This window comes from Homo sapiens, chromosome 8 (genome assembly GCF_000001405.40).
Source record: "Homo sapiens chromosome 8, GRCh38.p14 Primary Assembly".
Taxonomy (NCBI): domain Eukaryota; kingdom Metazoa; phylum Chordata; class Mammalia; order Primates; family Hominidae; genus Homo; species Homo sapiens.
The window spans coordinates 102,532,585-102,550,644 of record NC_000008.11 but is presented as its reverse complement, the minus strand read 5'-3'; the positions used below and the strand labels follow the sequence as shown (position 1 = coordinate 102,550,644).

The 18,060-nt window shown below is 46.0% G+C and overlaps 2 long non-coding RNA genes and 1 pseudogene across 2 annotated transcripts, besides 7 other annotated features; 2 read left to right on the top strand and 1 right to left on the bottom strand.

Moving 5' to 3' along the window:
• Positions 17–9,578, top strand: LOC105375684 (uncharacterized). The gene is made up of 2 exons (XR_928478.3): positions 17–102; positions 9,052–9,578. It is a non-coding gene; the product is annotated as an uncharacterized LOC105375684 (long non-coding RNA).
• Positions 49–16,035, bottom strand: LOC124901998 (uncharacterized). The gene is made up of 3 exons (XR_007061039.1): positions 15,847–16,035; positions 836–947; positions 49–138 (listed from the first exon to the last, which is right to left on the bottom strand). It is a non-coding gene; the product is annotated as an uncharacterized LOC124901998 (long non-coding RNA).
• Positions 12,810–13,104: a silencer, noted in NCBI's record as "tiled region #778; K562 Repressive DNase unmatched - State 8:EnhW". NCBI's record gives its function as "represses a minimal TATA promoter and a strong SV40 promoter by Sharpr-MPRA in K562 cells {active_cell/tissue: K562}" and the evidence as "EXISTENCE:reporter gene assay evidence [ECO:0000049][PMID:27701403]".
• Positions 12,810–14,175: a biological region, named in NCBI's record as "CDK7 strongly-dependent group 2 enhancer GRCh37_chr8:103548698-103549897".
• Positions 12,976–14,175: an enhancer, noted in NCBI's record as "CDK7 strongly-dependent group 2 enhancer chr8:103548698-103549897 (GRCh37/hg19 assembly coordinates)". NCBI's record gives its function as "activates an origin of replication core promoter dependent on BRD2, BRD4, P300/CBP, MED14 and CDK7 cofactors, with strong dependence on CDK7, by STARR-seq in HCT116 cells {active_cell/tissue: HCT116}" and the evidence as "EXISTENCE:reporter gene assay evidence [ECO:0000049][PMID:35650434]".
• Positions 14,170–14,464: a silencer, noted in NCBI's record as "tiled region #8570; K562 Repressive non-DNase unmatched - State 23:Low". NCBI's record gives its function as "represses a minimal TATA promoter and a strong SV40 promoter by Sharpr-MPRA in K562 cells {active_cell/tissue: K562}" and the evidence as "EXISTENCE:reporter gene assay evidence [ECO:0000049][PMID:27701403]".
• Positions 14,170–15,194: a biological region, named in NCBI's record as "Sharpr-MPRA regulatory region 8570".
• Positions 14,281–15,194: an enhancer, noted in NCBI's record as "OCT4-NANOG-H3K27ac hESC enhancer chr8:103547679-103548592 (GRCh37/hg19 assembly coordinates)". NCBI's record gives its function as "activates a minimal SCP1, AML or CMV promoter by ChIP-STARR-seq in naive H9 embryonic stem cells {active_cell/tissue: H9 hESC(naive)}" and the evidence as "EXISTENCE:reporter gene assay evidence [ECO:0000049][PMID:30033119]".
• Positions 14,941–15,040: an enhancer, noted in NCBI's record as "active region_27762". NCBI's record gives its function as "activates an Ori minimal core promoter by ATAC-STARR-seq in GM12878 lymphoblastoid cells {active_cell/tissue: GM12878}" and the evidence as "EXISTENCE:reporter gene assay evidence [ECO:0000049][PMID:35858748]".
• RNU6-1224P (RNA, U6 small nuclear 1224, pseudogene) lies at positions 17,306–17,404 on the top strand (annotated as a pseudogene).

Genomic DNA, 18,060 nt, shown 5'->3' with positions numbered 1-18,060 from the left:
GGGACCTGTAGCCAGACTAAGGACTCTGAACTTTATTTTGAGCCCAACGAAGGATTGTTGATTTTCTTTTCTTTTGTCAGAAGTGAGACAGCCACACTGAAGGTAAGTTGCTAGGGACAATAGTAGTGGGGTTTTCTGCTGCAAGACAAGAAGAGACAACAAAAATCTGGACTGGGGATCATGGCTATGGGGATGGCAAGGAGGAAGCCAATGGGAAAGCCTTCCCCCACCTCTGCCCAGGCCCCATCTAATCCATTTTCCACATTGTAGCCACAGCGACTTTCATATAGAAATCTGTCATTCCTCAACCTTCCCCACCCATCATCCCACTCACCTTAAAAGTCTTCTCTGTCCTCTCAAAAAAAGGACCAAAATCTTTACCAGGTGCTGAGCAATGGGGCCTCTCCCACTTCCCCACTCTCCTCTCCCATCCTAGTATTATTGCAATTCATTACCCCTCAGCCACGATGGCCTTCCTGGAAGACCACTCACTTTCCAGAGGCCGTTCCTTAGTCCCTTGAAGGACATTCCTCATTCCTTCCACCTCATTCAGAGCTCATACACAGGACGTTCTGCCTGCTTAGAAATTGAACTCCCCACCTATGACTTTCATCCATTTAATTCTTAAGGCACCCTTTAGATCTCCCCCTTTCTTGGGGAAGCCTTCTCTGTCTCCCAGACTAAACACTCTCTTAACTTAGGATACATTTCCTTCATGATATTGTTTCCCCAGCTGGACTGTAAGCCACGAGGGCAAGGACCTTGTCTATTTTTGCTTCGCAGTAGATACCTAACACAATGCCTGGCACATAGCAGGTGCTTGAAATGTACTCACTGAATGACCATCTGGGTGAATTCAACAGGATTTAGTGAACAGAGTGAGGATGGAGTGAGGGAGGAATCAGTGGTGACTTCCAGCTTTCAAGCTTGGCAGACTCTTGGTGCCACTGAGATAAAAATAACACAGGGAGAAGAGTAAGTTTGGGGATTTGGTGAACAGGTGGTGCTGGTGACAACTTTAAGGTAGAAATCTGGAGTATTCTGTGGATAAGAGGGTCTGGAATTTGAGGAAAGCCTGGGCTAGAGATATAAATTAGGAAGCCACAATTCCATAGGTAGTTGGAACCCTGGAAACAGGCAAGATAATTCAGAATTTAAAAAGAGAGCTGAAGCCGACTCCCAGGGAAAAATAAGTAGAAATGAGGAGAGTGAAGGAGTCCATGAAAGGCTCATAGAAGGAGTAACAGAGGGCGACAGCCCCCTCAGCTGGAGTCCCTTGGGAGTCACTAGACCAAGCATGGCATTCCCAATGGCTCGATGTTCCCCAGCCTTGACTTAGGAGGCCCTTTTCTGTGCAGATAATGTGTCTTAGCAAACAAGTGTCCCTAGAGGCATTAGAATGAGAGGCTGGCCCCTTGAGTCACGTGGAATGAGTCAAAAAGCAAAGCTGAATGATTCTCCTCTATGGACAAATTCTGACCTCTTTAAAAGTGATTCCACTGTGATTTGATTCTGAGGGGTGGACCCTATTAATAGAAATATGGCCTACTCTTTCCTGAGAGTTAATTGCAGGAGTTGTACAGATTTCTCTAGCTCCAGGTGACAGAGAATTCTTATATCACCTTGAATTCTATCCCTTAGCAAATGTCAGCAAAGATTGAAGCAGGCAAGCTCTCAGTTTAATATTATTATATACACAAGTTCAGGTGCCTAAATACACACATCTGTGTATACATGGTACATTATTAAGATGGGTATAGCTATATTTCAACTAGGATTCTCCCATTATCCCACCTTCCTAGTGATTTTTCTTTTTTTATTTTGAGACAGGGTCTTACTCTGTCACCCAGGCTGGAGCACAGTGGCATGTGCTCTCTGCAGCCTTGACCTCCTGAGCTCAGGTGAGCCTCCCACCTCAGCCTCCCCAGTAGCTGGGGCTATAGCCATGCACTACCATGCCTGCCTAACTTTTGTATTTTTTGTAGAAATGGGGTCTCACCATGTTGCCCAGCCTGGTCTCAAACTCCTGGGCTCAAGCCATCTGCTCACCTTGGCCTCCCAAAGTGCTGGGATTACAGGCATGAGTCACCACTCCTGTCCCTTCCTAGTGATTTTACTCTTCATCATGAAGTATATTCTTATCATTTTAAGTGACTAAATAAAGGTAGTGTCTTCTTTAATGATGAGATGGAAATGTGATCTATTCATATCAGAAGGATTTTAATATGGATTCTAATATGGAACTAGGACCTTCCGTATGCAGGACTATGTCCATGGAATCTCTCATTCACCTTGGCTGGTGTCCGGATAGAACCTCCTCTGGATGGAAGGCAGGTCTTGACACTTTCCCAAGTTGGGCAACACTTGCTTGGTCCCCAATGTTGGTGAAATCATGAGCCAAAGAAGGTCCCCTCTGCCTCTTCCAGCAGGTAGCACAGCTACAGCTCAAGTCTCGTCACCAGACCAATGTTACAAAGACACTTTTCTAACAGTTGTTAGGTCAGTACACAGTGCTTAAACATCAAATATGAAAGTATACACACAGTGTGACCTGAACTCTGTAAAAAAGAATCCATAGGCTAGGTGTGGTGGCTCACACCTGTAATTCCAGCACTTTGGGAGACCGAGGTGGGGAGAATCACTTGAGGCCAGGAGTTTGGGACCAGCTTGGGCAACATAGTGAGACCCCATCTTCTACAAAAATATTTAAAAATTAGCCAGGTATGGTGGCACATGCCTATGGTCCCAGCTACTCAGGAAAATGAGGAGGGAGGATCATTTGAGCCCAGAGGCTCTAGGCTACATTGAGTTATGATTGCACCTCTGCACTCCAGCCTGGGCAATAGGGTGAGACCCTGTCACAAAAAAAAAAAAAAAAAAAAGGAGAGAAACACCCTGAAAAATTAGCTGTGGTTAACTCTGGCTAGTAGAATCATAGATGGCTTTTAAAATTATTTTTTCTAGACTTTTCTGTGATTTCCAAATTTCTTCTATGAGGATATCACCAGTTTTATAATGAAACACTTTCTGATATTGTACTCTCAAGAAATCAGCTGTGTACTGAATCGCTAAGCCCACCTTTGGCCCCTGCCATCCCCCTAAGCAGGCCATTGGGGAAGTCTCCCTGGAATGGACATCTGGAATTTGGTCTGTCCATCATCCATGGCATCTTCTTTTGGTAAAATAACTTTCTCCGCTCCCCACTCCCACCCTCCACCATTAAGTGCTGCCAGTAAGTTGCCTAGCCAAAGGGCAGGCATGAAACCAAAGCTGGCTGATCTGACTGTCTTCTGGGAATTTGATCTTTAGCAGAGAGACATAAAGCCTGAAGACAGTTGGAGCTGATTCATTCTGACAGTGCACCCTAGGAGACTACACCTTAGTTACTGCCCTGTTCCATAATTTTCAAGTTGGTCCCTGGCTTCTCTTTGGGCCTGAGAGCTCCTGCACATCTTTCCAATAAGCTCCCAGTCAGTTACCCAGTCAGTTTCTGTTTCTCGTATTTAAAGAACCCAACTGAGATGACAGCTTGTGCCCTGGATCTACCCACAGATGGCCATTCCAGGCTGACCTTGCAAGTCAGCTGTGGCTCCAGTGGACATTGTCCCAAGCAAGTCCAGCTCCTCCCTCTTAACCCAGATCCAGCTGCATCAGGGCAGCAGCCATCCTGAAGGCCCTGTGGGTATGGATCAATGACAGTGACCCACACTAGGGAAAATGGCTGAAAATCCCCAGGAAGACCCCTACATGAACACTGTCCCTGGAGCCAGAGAGGCTTCACTGGTGCCAGAATCTCAGAACTTTAGCTTTGGAAAACCCAAGTCATCCAGAGAGCTTCCTACTCAAGTAGAAAATCTCTGCTATAGCACCCCGGGCAGATAAGTATGGAAGAAATTAGGGCTTGTGTATGGGTTGAGATGCCCTCTTATTGGTGTGGATAGCCAATACGCCTATGACTAACCATACTGATTAGCGTAATTTTTTCTCCCCCTTTTCTCCCCAGCCCACAAGGTCTTTAGCAAATATCTTCCTGCTAAATACAGTGAGGGATAAGGAGGAGGAGGGTGTTCGTATATTCTCTTACAGCTGCACCCAACAGAAGTGAACCTGAGGGTCCAAGTTACTACAGAGGAAAGGCTGCTTTCTCCTGGTGGGGTCTAAAAGCTCTAGAGCAGTTCAGAGTGTGCTTTCCTTTTGCTTGCAGCAGATCATTCAGATATTGAGAAAGAATCATGTGAATTTTACATACCAAATAAATACATGAATAAGTTCCTCATTAAGATTTGAGGACTAGGCCAGGCATGGTGGCTCATGCCTGTAATCCCAGCCGTTTGGGAGGCCAAGGCAGGCAGATCGCCTGAGGTCAGGAGTTTGAGACCAGCCTGGTCAGCATGGTGAAACCCTGTCTCTACTAAAAATACAAAAATTAGTCTGGTATGGTGGCACGTGCCTGTAATCCCAGCTACTTGGGAGGCTGAGGCAGGAGAATTGTTTGAACCCAGGAAGCCAAGGTTGCAATGAGCCAAGATCGCGCCACTGCACTCCTGCCTAGGTGACAAGAGCAAAACTCTGTCTCAAAAACAAAACAAAACAAAACAAAAGATTTGAGGAGTACATGGGGGTGTTAGGTTGACCAATCACTCTGATTTGCCCAGGACTGAACCCATATCTGGGATGCAAACTTGCATTCCTTCCTTGCAACCTCTAAGGGTAGTAAGGAGTGTTTTTTTGTTTTTTTTAGAGACAGGATCTCTCTGTGTTGCACAGGGTGGCCTCGAACTCCTGGCCTCAAGTGATACTCCTACCTTGGCATCCCAAAGTGCTGGGATTATAGGTGTGAGCCACTGTGCCCGGCCAAAAGTCTTATTAGAAGTTCTGAATTCTTTGTGACAACTATAGTTTCTTCTCTTTCTTACCCTCTCACCTGCACTTGTGTGTTTCCCCCTCCTTGCTTTCAGTCTCATGAATTCTCCAAGAAAAATCATTAGCGGCTGTCTATATTGTTCTTGATGAGAACAGAGACTCCAAATTTTTTTTTCAACTTCACACTGGAGTCATTCAAACATAAAAGCACATTTTCATGTTTACCTAGGAACAGAAGGGCTTGCTTCTGTCACAGCTGGTGGCCTGATTAACTTGAGGGAGTTTAAAAAATATTATATTCCTACCACTACAACCACCACAACTGCCTATCTCTTAATAGATGCTTACTTGACTAATAATGATATTTACATTTAATGAGTGCTTGAGTCTGTGCCAGGCTAATCCTCACAATGACCTCATGAAGTAGGACTATTATTATCTCCATTGTTTTTATTCTTTTTTGAGACGGAGTCTCGCTCTGTCACCCAGGCTGGAGTGCAGTGGTGCAATCTCGGCTCCCTGCAACCCTCGCCTCCCGGGTTCAAGCAATTCTCCTGCCTCAGCCTCCCAAATAGCTGGGATAACAGGCACCTTCCACCAAGCCTGGCTAAATTTTGTATTTTTAGTAGAGACAGGGTTTCATCATGTTGGCCAGGCTGGTCTCGAACTCCTGACCTTGTGATCTGCCTGCCTCGGCCTCCCAAAGTGCTGGGACTACAGGCGTGAGCCACCACGCCCGGCCAGTTATGATCCCCATTTTATAGACAAGAACATTGAGGCAGAACATTCACACAGGAAGTGGCAGAGCCAGGGCTCCACATGGGCAGTCAGCGCTTTGTCTTGGAAGAGTAATGATCCTTGAGAAGAAAATTTCACTTGACTTTACCCCTTAAAGATGAAGGAGAAATTGAACTCAAACATTAGGATTTCAGGTTCCGTGCTTTGATCATTATCTGCACACCTAGAGCTGGACTTGCTGCACATTTTTGTTCAGATGGAGTAAAGTGCTTTTCTGCTCCATGACACCCCTGTGTCCCGCCTGCAGCCACCCTGTGATGGGTGGGGCTGCTTCCTACCTGCCCCTGCAAGTGATTCACAGCTCCTCTCTCCTCTTGGTAGTAGAAGTTTTCCTCTCTCCCAAAGGAACATTTCTCGCCAAGAATACTTTCCCTTGCATGGCGTGGATGCTTATTTTGTAGAGGAGCATCTACTGTCTTTGTCAATGCATACCAAAATTTCAGAACAAAACATCCTCACAGCGGAGAGCCATTCTGCCAGGGGTTCTCTGCATGGGGAATGGATTTTCTACCCAAATTTTCTACCTCCAGCTGGGGTTGCTTTTAAGCAGAGAACATGGAGTCCAAAGCCCTCTTTTTACCTACTGTTCTGTCTGACTCAGCTTTCTAGGTAAAGCTCCCAGGAGCTGAAGTACATTCTGATCACTGACTCCTTCTCAACTCCCCGCAGGAGCCCAGCAGGGGAAGAACAAGGTGGGGCTCCTGGTGCTAAAAGCTGGAGAGAGGACAAGACCCAGGGTCTCTATGAATAGCGGGACTGGATGGCCCGAGGAGGAGGAGGGGACAGAAAAGAAGACAGACAGGGGAGCGTGAAACCTGTCTTCTTCTCATTTAGTATCTCAAACTTCTTGGTGTCAGGACCACTTGACATCCTTAACAACTATCGAGGATCCCAAAGAGCTTTTTGTTATGTAGGTTTTATCTATCGATATGGACCATATTAGGAATTAAAACTGAGAAATATACAAAATATGTATTCATTTAAAAATCAGTGACAGTGAACCCATTACATGTTAGCACAAATAATATCTTTTTATGGGAATCGTGTTTTCAAAAAAAACTGAGAACGGGGGCATTGTTTTACATTTTTACATTTTCTAATGTCTGGTTTCACAGAGGGCAGCTGAAATATCTTCTGCCTTCAATCTGTTGCAATATTTTTTTTGGTTTAAATACAGAAGAAAATCCAGCCTTACACAGATGTGCAATTGATGAAGGAAGGACCTCTCAGACCCCTGAAAGGGTTTTGGGGATCACATGTTGAGACTCACGGCTTTAATTCAGAGTTCTAGCTGCACAGTGCCTCAAAGCCACAATCACTTTGCTTTTCCTAAAGCAATTCAGTCTCACATTGCAGAACTTTGTTAAAGAGCTTTTGGGAAATCTGTCCATCCAGCAATTCCCTTCTTTAAAAACTGAACCCCTACCCATGGGGAAGGGGTTGGGAGGAGCTCTGACAGGAATCCTTCTAAAACATGACCTGCCCCCCACCGGGTGCAAGTTTCTGCACCAAGAGAGAACCCAATAACAGCTGGATCAACCAAGTCCTCTCTTCCAGGAACCTGGCAATGGGGGACATGGGCCGAGGGCTCTTGAATGCAGAAAGCAAGGCTGCCGTTGTGGACCACCCTCTGTAACTATGGAGCCCTGGGTTCTTCACAGCTTCTGGGACCTGCTCTCCAATGAGGGTGCTCCTGTTTTAACCATTCACTAATTTATTATTCCATTCATTCTTATAGTAAATACCTCAAAGGTCAATAGCAACTGTGGATCTGAAAAGAGAAGGAAGTTGAAATTAAGAGCTCAAAATCCAGTTGTGAATAATGTGTGTGCATACACATGTGAGCGTGTAAAAGAAAGAAGGAGGGGCCAGGTGCAGTGGCTCACGCCTCTAATCCCAGCCCTTTGGGAGGCCAAGCCAGGCGGATCACTTGAGCTCAGGAGTTCAAAACCAGCCTGGGAAACATGGCAAAACCCCATCTCTATTAAAAATAAAAATAAAGAAAAAAGGAGGAGAGAAGTTTCCCGGTTATAAGTGAAATTTCAAAACTGGGCCAGGCATAGTGGCTCACGCTTGTGATCCCAGCACTTTGGGAGGCCGAGGCAGGGAGATCACTTGAGCCCAAGAGTTGGAGAGCAGCCTGGGCAACATAGGAAGACCTCTGCCTCTACAAAAAATTTAAAAATTAGCTGGATGTGGTAGCACACACCTGTAGTCCCAGATACTTGAGAGGCTGAAGTGGGAAGATCACCTGAGGCCTTGAGGTGGAGGTTACAGTGAACTGTGGTCATGCCTCTTCACTTTAGCCTGGGTGACAGAACAAGATGATGACAATGACAATGATGACGATGAAGAAGAAGAAGGAGGGGGAGGAGGAGGGGAGGAGTAGGGGGAGGAGGAGGGAGAGGGGGAAGAGAAGGGGGAAGGGGAGGGGGAGGAGGGGGAGGAGGTGGGTGTGGGAGGAGGAGGGGGAGGAGGGAGAGGAGGAGGGGGAGAGAGAGGAGGAAGAAAGAACAAGAAGAGGAACTGTATGTACCTGGAGTACAGCGGTGCACACCTGTAGTCCCAGCTACTTGGAAGGGTGAGGTGGGAGGATCACCTGAGCCCAAGAGGTCCAGACCAGCCACCAGTCTGGGCAACATAGTGACTTTTTTGAGACTTTGTCTCAAAAAAAGAAAAGAAATGGAAAAAAATCATATGTAGTAGGATCCTGTCTTCAGCCAAGTTGTGATCCATTTAGGTATTTTGTTAGGTCTGGCTCCTAAATGTTCAGTAACACCTAGCATATTTCACAGACCACTTATATAAGTGGAGTTTTTTCCAAGAAAAATCAAAGCCTGAGCTAAGGTTCATGGTGGCATCAAGCTGGTATGGAACAGAAGATTGCATGCGGGAGATGGGGAGGGGCCATGAGCAGAGCTAAATGTGACCAGCAGCTCAGGCTGAGAGGTGACTGTGAGATGCCAGTCTCCTCTAGAGATCTCAGCGACTGCCTTGAGATCCCGCAGTGGGGCCTAGCTTATCAGTTGCCAGGGCCAGAGGTGCCCCAGCTAACTGCTGAATCACACACAATGAGGAGGTAAAAAAAAAAGAATGAGTGATTTGAATAGATGTATGATAATGTCACTGACACACTGAACCAGTGCACTCAGGTTACATAAACCACCCTCCTCCCACACATACACAGAGCACTCCTGGATTATCACCCTTCAGACTGTTTTTATTATAAGGAACAGAACTCCATGAAAAATGGACTAGACAATAAAAGGAACATATTGACTTACATAATTAACATACAAAATCCACTTGTCTGTATATCAGGGAGGCAGGCATTATTTGATTGAGACTCTAGCTCATTTCTCTACCCTCCTCTGTTGGATTCCTTTTCAGGCTTGCTTCCCTCCTGCTCATAGAGAGCTGATAGCAACAACCAAGGCTACATGCTTCCTGAGTTACAGCTGATGAGAGACTGTCCACTCCACAACTGTCAGAGTCCTGAGCTTCATTCCGATTGCAACCCTGCCGCATGCTCACTCCTTACTACTGTGAAAGGTCATTGCTATCATTATGGTGCTCAGCGGGTCTTTACTAATCTATTTACTCATACTTAAATGGAAAATTTCAGAGTATGTGTTTCCTCATGGTTCTATCTTTGGGAACAAGTCTGATGGCCACTGCCTTTCTCCCTGCCAGAGTCAGGATCTAGCATCAGGGGTTTCCAGGGTTCCCTGGGAGCAGACGACTGTTGCCTAACAGCTACGTGGCTAACAGTACCACTGCCAGCAAGAACACTCCTTTACTTCACAGAAGTCTCCCCCTTCCTGCTCCACCATGCTAGAGGGCTTGAAATGCCTTGAAATTCTCTCCCTTCAGAGTTGAAATACCACTTCCCTGAAAATAAAATGCATCTTCCCCAAGTGCCTGTCACATAGTGTTGTGGACTAAATTATGTCACCTCAAAATCAATGTGTTGAAGTCCTAACCCCCAACGTAACTGTATTTGGAGATGAGACTTTTAAAGAGGTATTAAGGTTAAATGAGGTCATAAGAGTAGGGCCCTAATCCAACATGCCTGCTGTCATTATAAAAGGAAGAGGCTGGGTGCAGTAGCTCATGCCTATAATCCCAGCACTTTGGGAGGCCGAGGCAGGTGGATCACTTGAGGTAAGGAGTTCAAGACCAGCCTGGCCAACATGGTCAAACCCCGTCTCTACTAAAAATACAAAAATTAGCCAGGAATGATGGTGCATGCCTGTAATCCCAGCTACTCAGGAGGCTGAGGCAGGAGAATAACGCGAACCAAGAAGGTGGAGGTTGCAGTGAGCTGAGATCGTGCCCCTGCACTCCAACCTGGGCAACAGAGTGAGACTCCGTCTCAAGGAAAAAAAAAGAAGAAGAGGAGGAGACGCCAGGGATGTGTGCACACAGAGAAAGGCCACACCAGGACACATCAAGAAGACAACCATGGCTGGGCACAGTGGCTCATGCCTGCAATCCTAGCATTTTGGGAGGCTGAGGTGGACAGATCACCTAAGGTCAGGAGTTTGAGACCAGCCTGGCCAACATGGTGAAACCCCATCTCTACTAAAAATATAAAAATTAGGCCGGACACAGTGGCTCACGTCTGTAATCCCAGCACTTTGGGAGGCCGAGGCAGGCAGATCACCTGAGGCCCGGAGTTCAAGACCAGCCTGGCCAACATGGTGAAACCCCTGTCTACTAAAAGTATAAAAATTAACTGGACATGGTGATATGTGCCTGTAATCCCAGTTACTCAGGAGGCTAAGGCAGGAAAATCACTCTGCACTCTGGCCTGGCCAACAGAGCAAGACTCCATCTAAAAAAAAAAAAAAAATTAGCAAGGCATGGTGGCAGGTGCCTGCAATCTGTAATCCCAACTACTTCAGAGGCTAAGGTACAAGAATTGCTTGAACCCAGTAAGCAGAGGTTGCAATGAGCCAAGATTGCACCACTGCACTCCAGCCTGGGTGACAGAGGGAGACACTGTCTCAAAAAAAGAAAAAAAAAAAGAAGACAACTGCCTGCAAGCCAAAGAAAAAGGCCTCCCCTCAGGAGACACCAAACTCCCTGACACCTTACTCTTGAACTTTCAGCCTCCAGAACTATGAGAAATAAATGGCTGTTGTATCAGCCACCCAGACTGTGGCATTTTGTTATGGCAGCCCAAGCTGACTAATATACATGGTTATGATCCGATCTCTCAGTAGGATAACCTGCCAGCAGCTCTGTGATGATAGATCTTTAACAACCAGTTCTCCAAGGACAAACGACCTGGTTTGTAGGATTTCACAATTACCATGGTGTAAATACTTCCACTATGGCCAATTTCAAGTTATCAGTGTGATATTTCTGAATATCAGGTTAAGAAGAGATGTGTACCATTGGCTTTTATGAGCCAACGCAAGCTGGCTGCAGCATGCCACTGCTTGACAGTCAATGCCAGGAGCAAATATTTTTAGTAGCACATTATATGGCAGGATCTTGTTTGCTTGTTTTTAAAAATAAAATGGTATTTTCCTAGCATGCCTTCACCCCCACCCCAAAAGCACTCACACACCCTGGGCAGGGGTTCTCAAGACAGAAAGGGACTTGAAAATACGGCAGTCCATGTTTTCTGCTGTCTTTCCACTCCTTGCTTTTCACACCTAATGTGCTCAGCACGTTAATGGGACATAGGAACTGAGTTGTACGAAGTGGCTAGTTTCCATTTCAGAGCCAAGCATCTCTCCATGAGGGCCAAGAAAAAGGGGAAAGATATTTCCCTCAAACCCGGGCTCTGCATTTTTGTGCGTGTTGTTCCCCCATCACCTCCTACAATGTTTCTTCAGTTACACAAATGAAATATTTCCCAGAAACCTCTTCTGTCTTCCCATTATTTACCTGACACATTTTAACTTACTTGGGGAAATATTTGCTAATTTTATTTCAATGACAGGTTTTACATCTCTCCCAAAAGCAGTTTTTAAAAGTGCTTGAAATTCATAACTGAGTATCATGGTTCCTTAGACACAAATTTGAATGATTAATTGGATATTTTCCATTCCACTCCAAGTCAGGTTGTGCAGAGCCTGCCCTCTGCCTCTGGCTGCAGCAAACTGTGAAGAATCGGTTTGTCAGTGTACCGGGGCGGCCCGCAGCATCTCCATTTCCTTTATTGTGAACTCTTCGTCTTTATGAGCGATTCCTAGCTGAATTCAAAAGGAACCCCTTTCCCCACCTGAAATTCTTAGCTCCTGCTTCCTCTGCTTCTCCCCGCTTCCTTAGGAAACTGGGCTCTGCCTTAGGCAGGCTTGGCCATTAAGCATCAGCTCCTGGCGCAACAAAAGCTGATCTCTGCAAGCCTGCGAGACGCCCGCTCCCAACCGCACAATCAGTGAGCCCTCGGGTCCAGCTGCTCCGCCTCAGGGATTCCAGTATGGCCACATTTTGGTGATGCTGCTGCAGATACTACGGTATAATTGCAGGAAGCTCTTCTCTGAAGACGGGGAACTATCCAGAGGTGTGCTGGGGGAGGCGCCTGCCAACAGAAAGAACCGATTGCGCAGGTCTCTTCCCAACTCCATGTTCAGTGAAGTGATGCTGGTGGCAAGGAAATCAGCAAACATTACAAACCAGGGCCTCCCCCGCCTCCTCACCACACCCTGGAGCATCCAGTTACTACACGGCACTGGCAATACCCCCTTTTAAAAAATCCCTCACAAGAGACAGCAGCCTGTGCAATTAGAATCTTCTCCATCTCACCCTCCCCGTCATTTTCTGGAAGCGCCCGGTGCTAAATGGGAGCCAAGCGATTGTGAATCACACAGCCTCTTTTGAAGGGACGTCTTTCTTTTCAGTCCTCATTGACTGTCTTCCCCTTGTTAGGCCCTCTGGTGTTCTCCACGGGCTGCAGGGTCACTCAAAGCTCCTGCCATTGGAGCTTTCGCTTTTCTTTACATCGACTTCTCTGTGGGTTTATTTCTAATAACTTCATGATCCAGCAGGCAGTCCTGTCTGTTCACAGTGGTTCCCAAATCCCAGGGAGGATCGCTATCAATACAGATTACAAGGCCCAGCCTCCAAGCCAATCGGTGGCACAGGAATTTATGTTTTTGGTCTGCTCCCCAGGTGGCTCTGGTAAGCCAGCCTAGCTCCAGGCATAGGGTTGGGATGGCATTTGGAAACCACAGAAAAACCGTCTGTGAATGAGTATGCTGCACTCTTCCTCAGCAGCCCCTGAGAGTTAGGACCCAGCCTGGCTGAGGCTGCAGGACTCACCCAGCCTGTTCTCTCGTTAAGGGCTGACAGACAACATCTGAGGGCTTCCGCTCTGTCATCCTTCAGCCCACATAACATGGGGAGTGTCAGTGACTTTCCTGATTACCCAGGGATGCACAGGCTGGCTCTGAGGTACAAGAGGGGGTGAACTGATTAATTCCCTCTTGAAAAGCTTAATTGTGCATCGTTTTCTAATTTGTCATTTGCAAACGAAGCACAGGCTGCCAGGTGAGCTCAGCTGCACCCAATTAAAGGTCAGACCCCCCACCCCATCATTCCCTGAGTGACTCACAGTTACACCCCACCCCCACGCTGATGATGAGTGGGTGTCCTCCATCTCAGTGGCTCCCAAAATCCAGGTTGCAAATTAATCACCTTGGAGCTTGTTAAAATTCAAATTCCTGGGCTCCTTCCCGGGTTCCTGTTTCAGTAGGTCCAGGGTGGGGTCCAGGAACCACTGCGTTTAACAAGCTCCCCAGGTGAGTTCACTTATGCAGCTAGTTCTGCTTAAGCCAAAATGTCTTTCATGAAGTCTGGTCTCCTTAAGGGTATTACATTCCCTGAAGGAATTCCTCTGGAGTAACAATGAATCAGCTTTTTCCTTAGCTCCTTTTACAAATAAATACTGAGTTTCAGACGTCAAGCCATGCAATTCAGCGGAGGAAAGTGACTAATAGCGGGGGCCATCTGGCCAGCCACACTTCCACTGGGAACACTGGGATATGGTGAGTGACGGGGGAACATCCCAAGCAGGTGGGCTGCTCCCTCGAAGGGAAGGAGGGCACGGATGAGGGCAGAAAAGGCCTCGCTGAAACAGCTGGATGGAATGTTCCCCTCCCAGGGTTAATTTGTGCAGTTTCTTTTTGTGAGGGTAATCACCAAATTAAATGTTTTAATTACTGAAATTACTTATGCATTTCTTTTGAGAAAAAGAGCATATCAGAACACAGCATCTACTCCCCAGAGGGGCAAATGCTTTGCTTCCAGGGAAGGGGGTGTCTGGAGGAGTCCATTTTAATTTCATTATAAAACCGGCTTGAGAAATAAAGGTCTGGGATTGACACGTATTCCCAGCCAGCTGTGACTTAATGAGCACAATTCAAAGCTTGGAACCTGCTAGCCACATCCATATTAATATGTCTGTGGGAAAAAAACAACAGGGAAAGTGACAAACTGCTATCCCTAGTATTTGAAATGAATTTTAAATGACTGTTAAAATGGCTAACATGGGCAAGCATCACTTCAAGGCAGCCCAGCTGTCTGGCCTCCCCTCCTGTCAATAACACCCCTGGTAGGAAGAAGCTGTTTCACACAGATCAGCAAGTCCCGAGTCCCAGGGCCAGGTCAGCAGGTTTGGCAGAAGAGATGCAGCTGTGTTCTGAACCTGATCCATCCTGCAAAACCCCAGAACCTGGAAGGGCCTTTCCCCTCCTTTTATCTTGAATTGTTTGTTGCATAACCATCAGAGTCATTATGATGGTAATAGTCTTTGTGATTCTGATTTTCCCACGCAGAGGCACATGAAAGTAAGAAAAATGTCTTGTTCGAACATTTTGAGATGCTAAAAATAAAAGGTGCTGGGTAAGCCTGTGGTGTTAATAAGTACAAGGCGAGAGGGTGGGTGTGGGTGGCAAAGACAAAGGAAATGCAGAAACCAAGGGCTGTGTGTTTTGACATTCAAGGAGAACAGCCACCTGGTACCACTGGGAAGAGGCCCCTGGGTGGATGAGCTAGTGCTGTAGTACCTGTGGGTGGGCGGAAGGCGCCTCCTGGGTTCTGTAGAGCAGCGCATGCACACGCTCAAGGTGAAGGTCTTGGCATTTCCCTAAGATTGCACTCTGTGTTTGTTGCTGTTGTGTGTTGCCGGGAGGCAGTCCTGACTCAGAGCCTGGACTCTCAAATCACACAGATCCTGCCTCCTCCACTTCATTCAAAAGAGTTTCAACTGGGCCATGGGCCTTGATTTTTTTCATCTGGAAATGGGGTTAAAATACCAATTTCATTGGGCATTTTCTGAGAATTAAATGAAAAGATTTAAGTACATACTTTATCTCAGGGTCTAGCACAGAGTAAGTCCTCAGTGGTTTTTGTTACCATTTCTGACACATAGTTCAGTAGCATGGAGTTTCCAGGTTATTCTCCAATTAAAAACATCTTTCTGTACATATTGGACACTCATCCTCTGAGACTAATTCAGCAAGCAAATCAAAGGAGGAGATCATTTTGCTTTGAGCTGCACAAACCCTCTCATTCATTTTCTCTTAAACTGGTATTTTTCAGACTATGTCCCCTGCAATCTGAGAATTCTGTAAGCATTTGCTTTCAATTTACATTTCTTTTTTATATTTTACCAGCTTTAAATGGCAAACCTTTATCAAGTTAGGTTGTAATTTTTTCTTTTCTTTTTTTTTTTTTTTTTTTTTTTTTTTGAGACGGAGTCTTGCTCTGTTGCCCAGGCTGGAGTGCAGTGGCATGATCTCGGCTCACTGCAGGCTCCGCCTCCTGGGTTCACACCAATCTCCTGCCTCAGCCTCCCAAGTAGATGGGACTACAGGCACCTGCCACCACGCCCGGCTAATTTTTTTATTTTTAGTAGAGACGGGGTTTTACCAGGTTAGCCAGGATGGTCTCGATCTCCTGACCTCGTGATCTCCCGCCTCGGCCTCCCAAAGTGCTAGGATTATAGGCGTAAGCCACTGTGCCCAGCCAATTTTTTCTAATTTGGTCTTGGGGTCTCTCTCTTGAGAGTGGCCATAAGCCAAGCTAGCCACTCTGTAGGAGAGCACTGGGGTATGAGTTGGGGGTGGGGGTGTGTGAGTGGGTGACGGTGAAGTTAGGTTCAGGTGTGTGCATCAGGTAGGCCACAATGGGGAAATGAAACCAAAATTCATGATATGTATTACTTACAGGTCCCAGAAGAGCTAGGGGTCCCAGTGGGTGGCCAACAGGAAGTCTGTAGGTGGCGGGGAGCACAGCCATCAGGTGGAGCAACGGCTTTGAGACTATGTCTTTTTTGAGTGTTTGTTGAAACCAAAAAAACACACAGCTGTGTCGCCCAGGCTGAAGTGCAGTGGTGCAATCATGGCTCACTGCAGCCTCAACCTCCCAGCCTCAAGTGATCCTCCTACCTCATCCTCCTGAGTGGCTGGGACTATGGGTGCATGCCACCACACCCATGACTCTGGCATTGACCATTAGGTTTATTATGGCCAGCAGTTCTGGGCTGTGTTGAGTTTTGTGTCAATGGGATAGAATAATGGGGCTAGAGCACAAACAATCACACTGGAAGGGGAAGATGTAACTAGGCCAAAGGTCATGGAGTATGACTAGGTTTCAAATAACTTATGTCAGGCCTAAAAACAGATGCCTCGGCAGGAACTATATTAAGCAAATTTATGATGTTATTTGCATGAATAGCTCTTTTAATCTTCACAATTATCCTATAAAGTGAGTGCTATTGTTATCCTCCTTTTACTGATGAGAAAACTAAGGCATAGATAATTAAGCAGTGTTTCCAAGGCCATGAAGCTAGTAAATGCAGAGCTGAGGTTCAAATCCAAGGAATCTGACTCCAGAGCCTTTCTTGGTCACTATTTCACATGCTGTCTCTAAAAACTGTAACAAACACATGCAAACACAAACATGCACATTCAGATATTCCATATCAGATTGTGACTTGGTGGAGACCACCACATCATGAACTAGTGCCACCAGACTAACTTTTTAGAGAAAAAAACCTCATTCATCCATTCATTCAATGAACAAATGTTTATTGAGTATGTACTATATGTTTCCAAGACCTTCCTGTAACTATATGGATAAGAAAGATCATAGCTCTACCTTCATTTCTTTTTTGTTTTGTTTTGAGATGGAGTTTCACTCTTGTTGTCCAGGCTGGAGTGCAATGGCACAATCTCAGCTCACTGCCAATGGTACACATCTCTTCTTAAACTGATATTCAGAAATACTCATTCAGTCAATGGTACACATCTCTTCTTAACCTGATATTCAGAAATATCGCACTAATAACTTGAAATTGGCCATAGTGGAAGTATTTACACCATGGTAATTGGCAAATCCTACAAACCAGGTCGTTTGTTGCTCACTGCAACCTCCGCCTCGTGGGTTCAAGTGATTCTCCTGCCTCAGCCTCCCAAGTAGGTGGGATTATAGGTGAGCACCACCATGCCCAGCTAATTTTGTATTTTTAGTAGAGACAGGGTTTCACCATGTTGGTCAGGTTGGTCTCGAACTCATGACCTCAAGTAATCCACTCGCCTCAGCCTCCCAAAGTGCTGGGATTACAGACATAAGCCACTGTGCCTGGCCTCTACCCTCATTTCTTAAAAATACTCAGATCTGGTTCTTGCTTTGGCAGCAAACATCCTAAAGTTGGAATGATACACAATTATCATGGCTGCTGCCCAAGGATGATATGAAAATTCATGAAATGTTCCATATAAAAAAGAAACGGAAAAAAAATTCAGGCTGTACTTACCCATTCACTTAAAATCAAGCCCAGCATAATAGTGAGCTGTGCAATAACTGGCAAGTGAGGGTACCAGGTGGTAAACAGAACATATTAATCATTTGAATGTTTATTATGATTTGGATGCTACTCAGTGGACTTGTATTCGTGACAAGACATGTTGGCAGCAGATTCAGTTTTTAAACAAAAATCTGCTTTTTCAAGCATTTAGATTAGTTTAGTTGAAGGATATCCTGAGAGTACCAGCATGTTGTTAAAGGCCGTGACCATTTGCAATCACACATAGGTGGGGATCAGGATTTTATTGATTCCATGTAACAGAACCATCAGACAGGAGGAAACACTTGATGCTGAGGCCCAACTAAACCTAATTTAAGTTTTTTATTTTTAGACCAGGCTCCGTGTCTCATGCCTGGACTCCCAGTACTTTGGGAGGTGGAGACAGGAGGATTGCTTGAGTCCAGGAATTTCTACAAAAAATTTAAAAAATTAACCAAGCATGGCAGTGTGTGCCTGTAGTCCTAGCTACTCAGGAGGCTGAGGAGGGAGGATTGCTTGAGCCCAGAAGGTAGAGGTTACAGTGAGCTGTGATTGTGCCACTGCATTCCAGCCTGGGAGACAGAGTGACACCT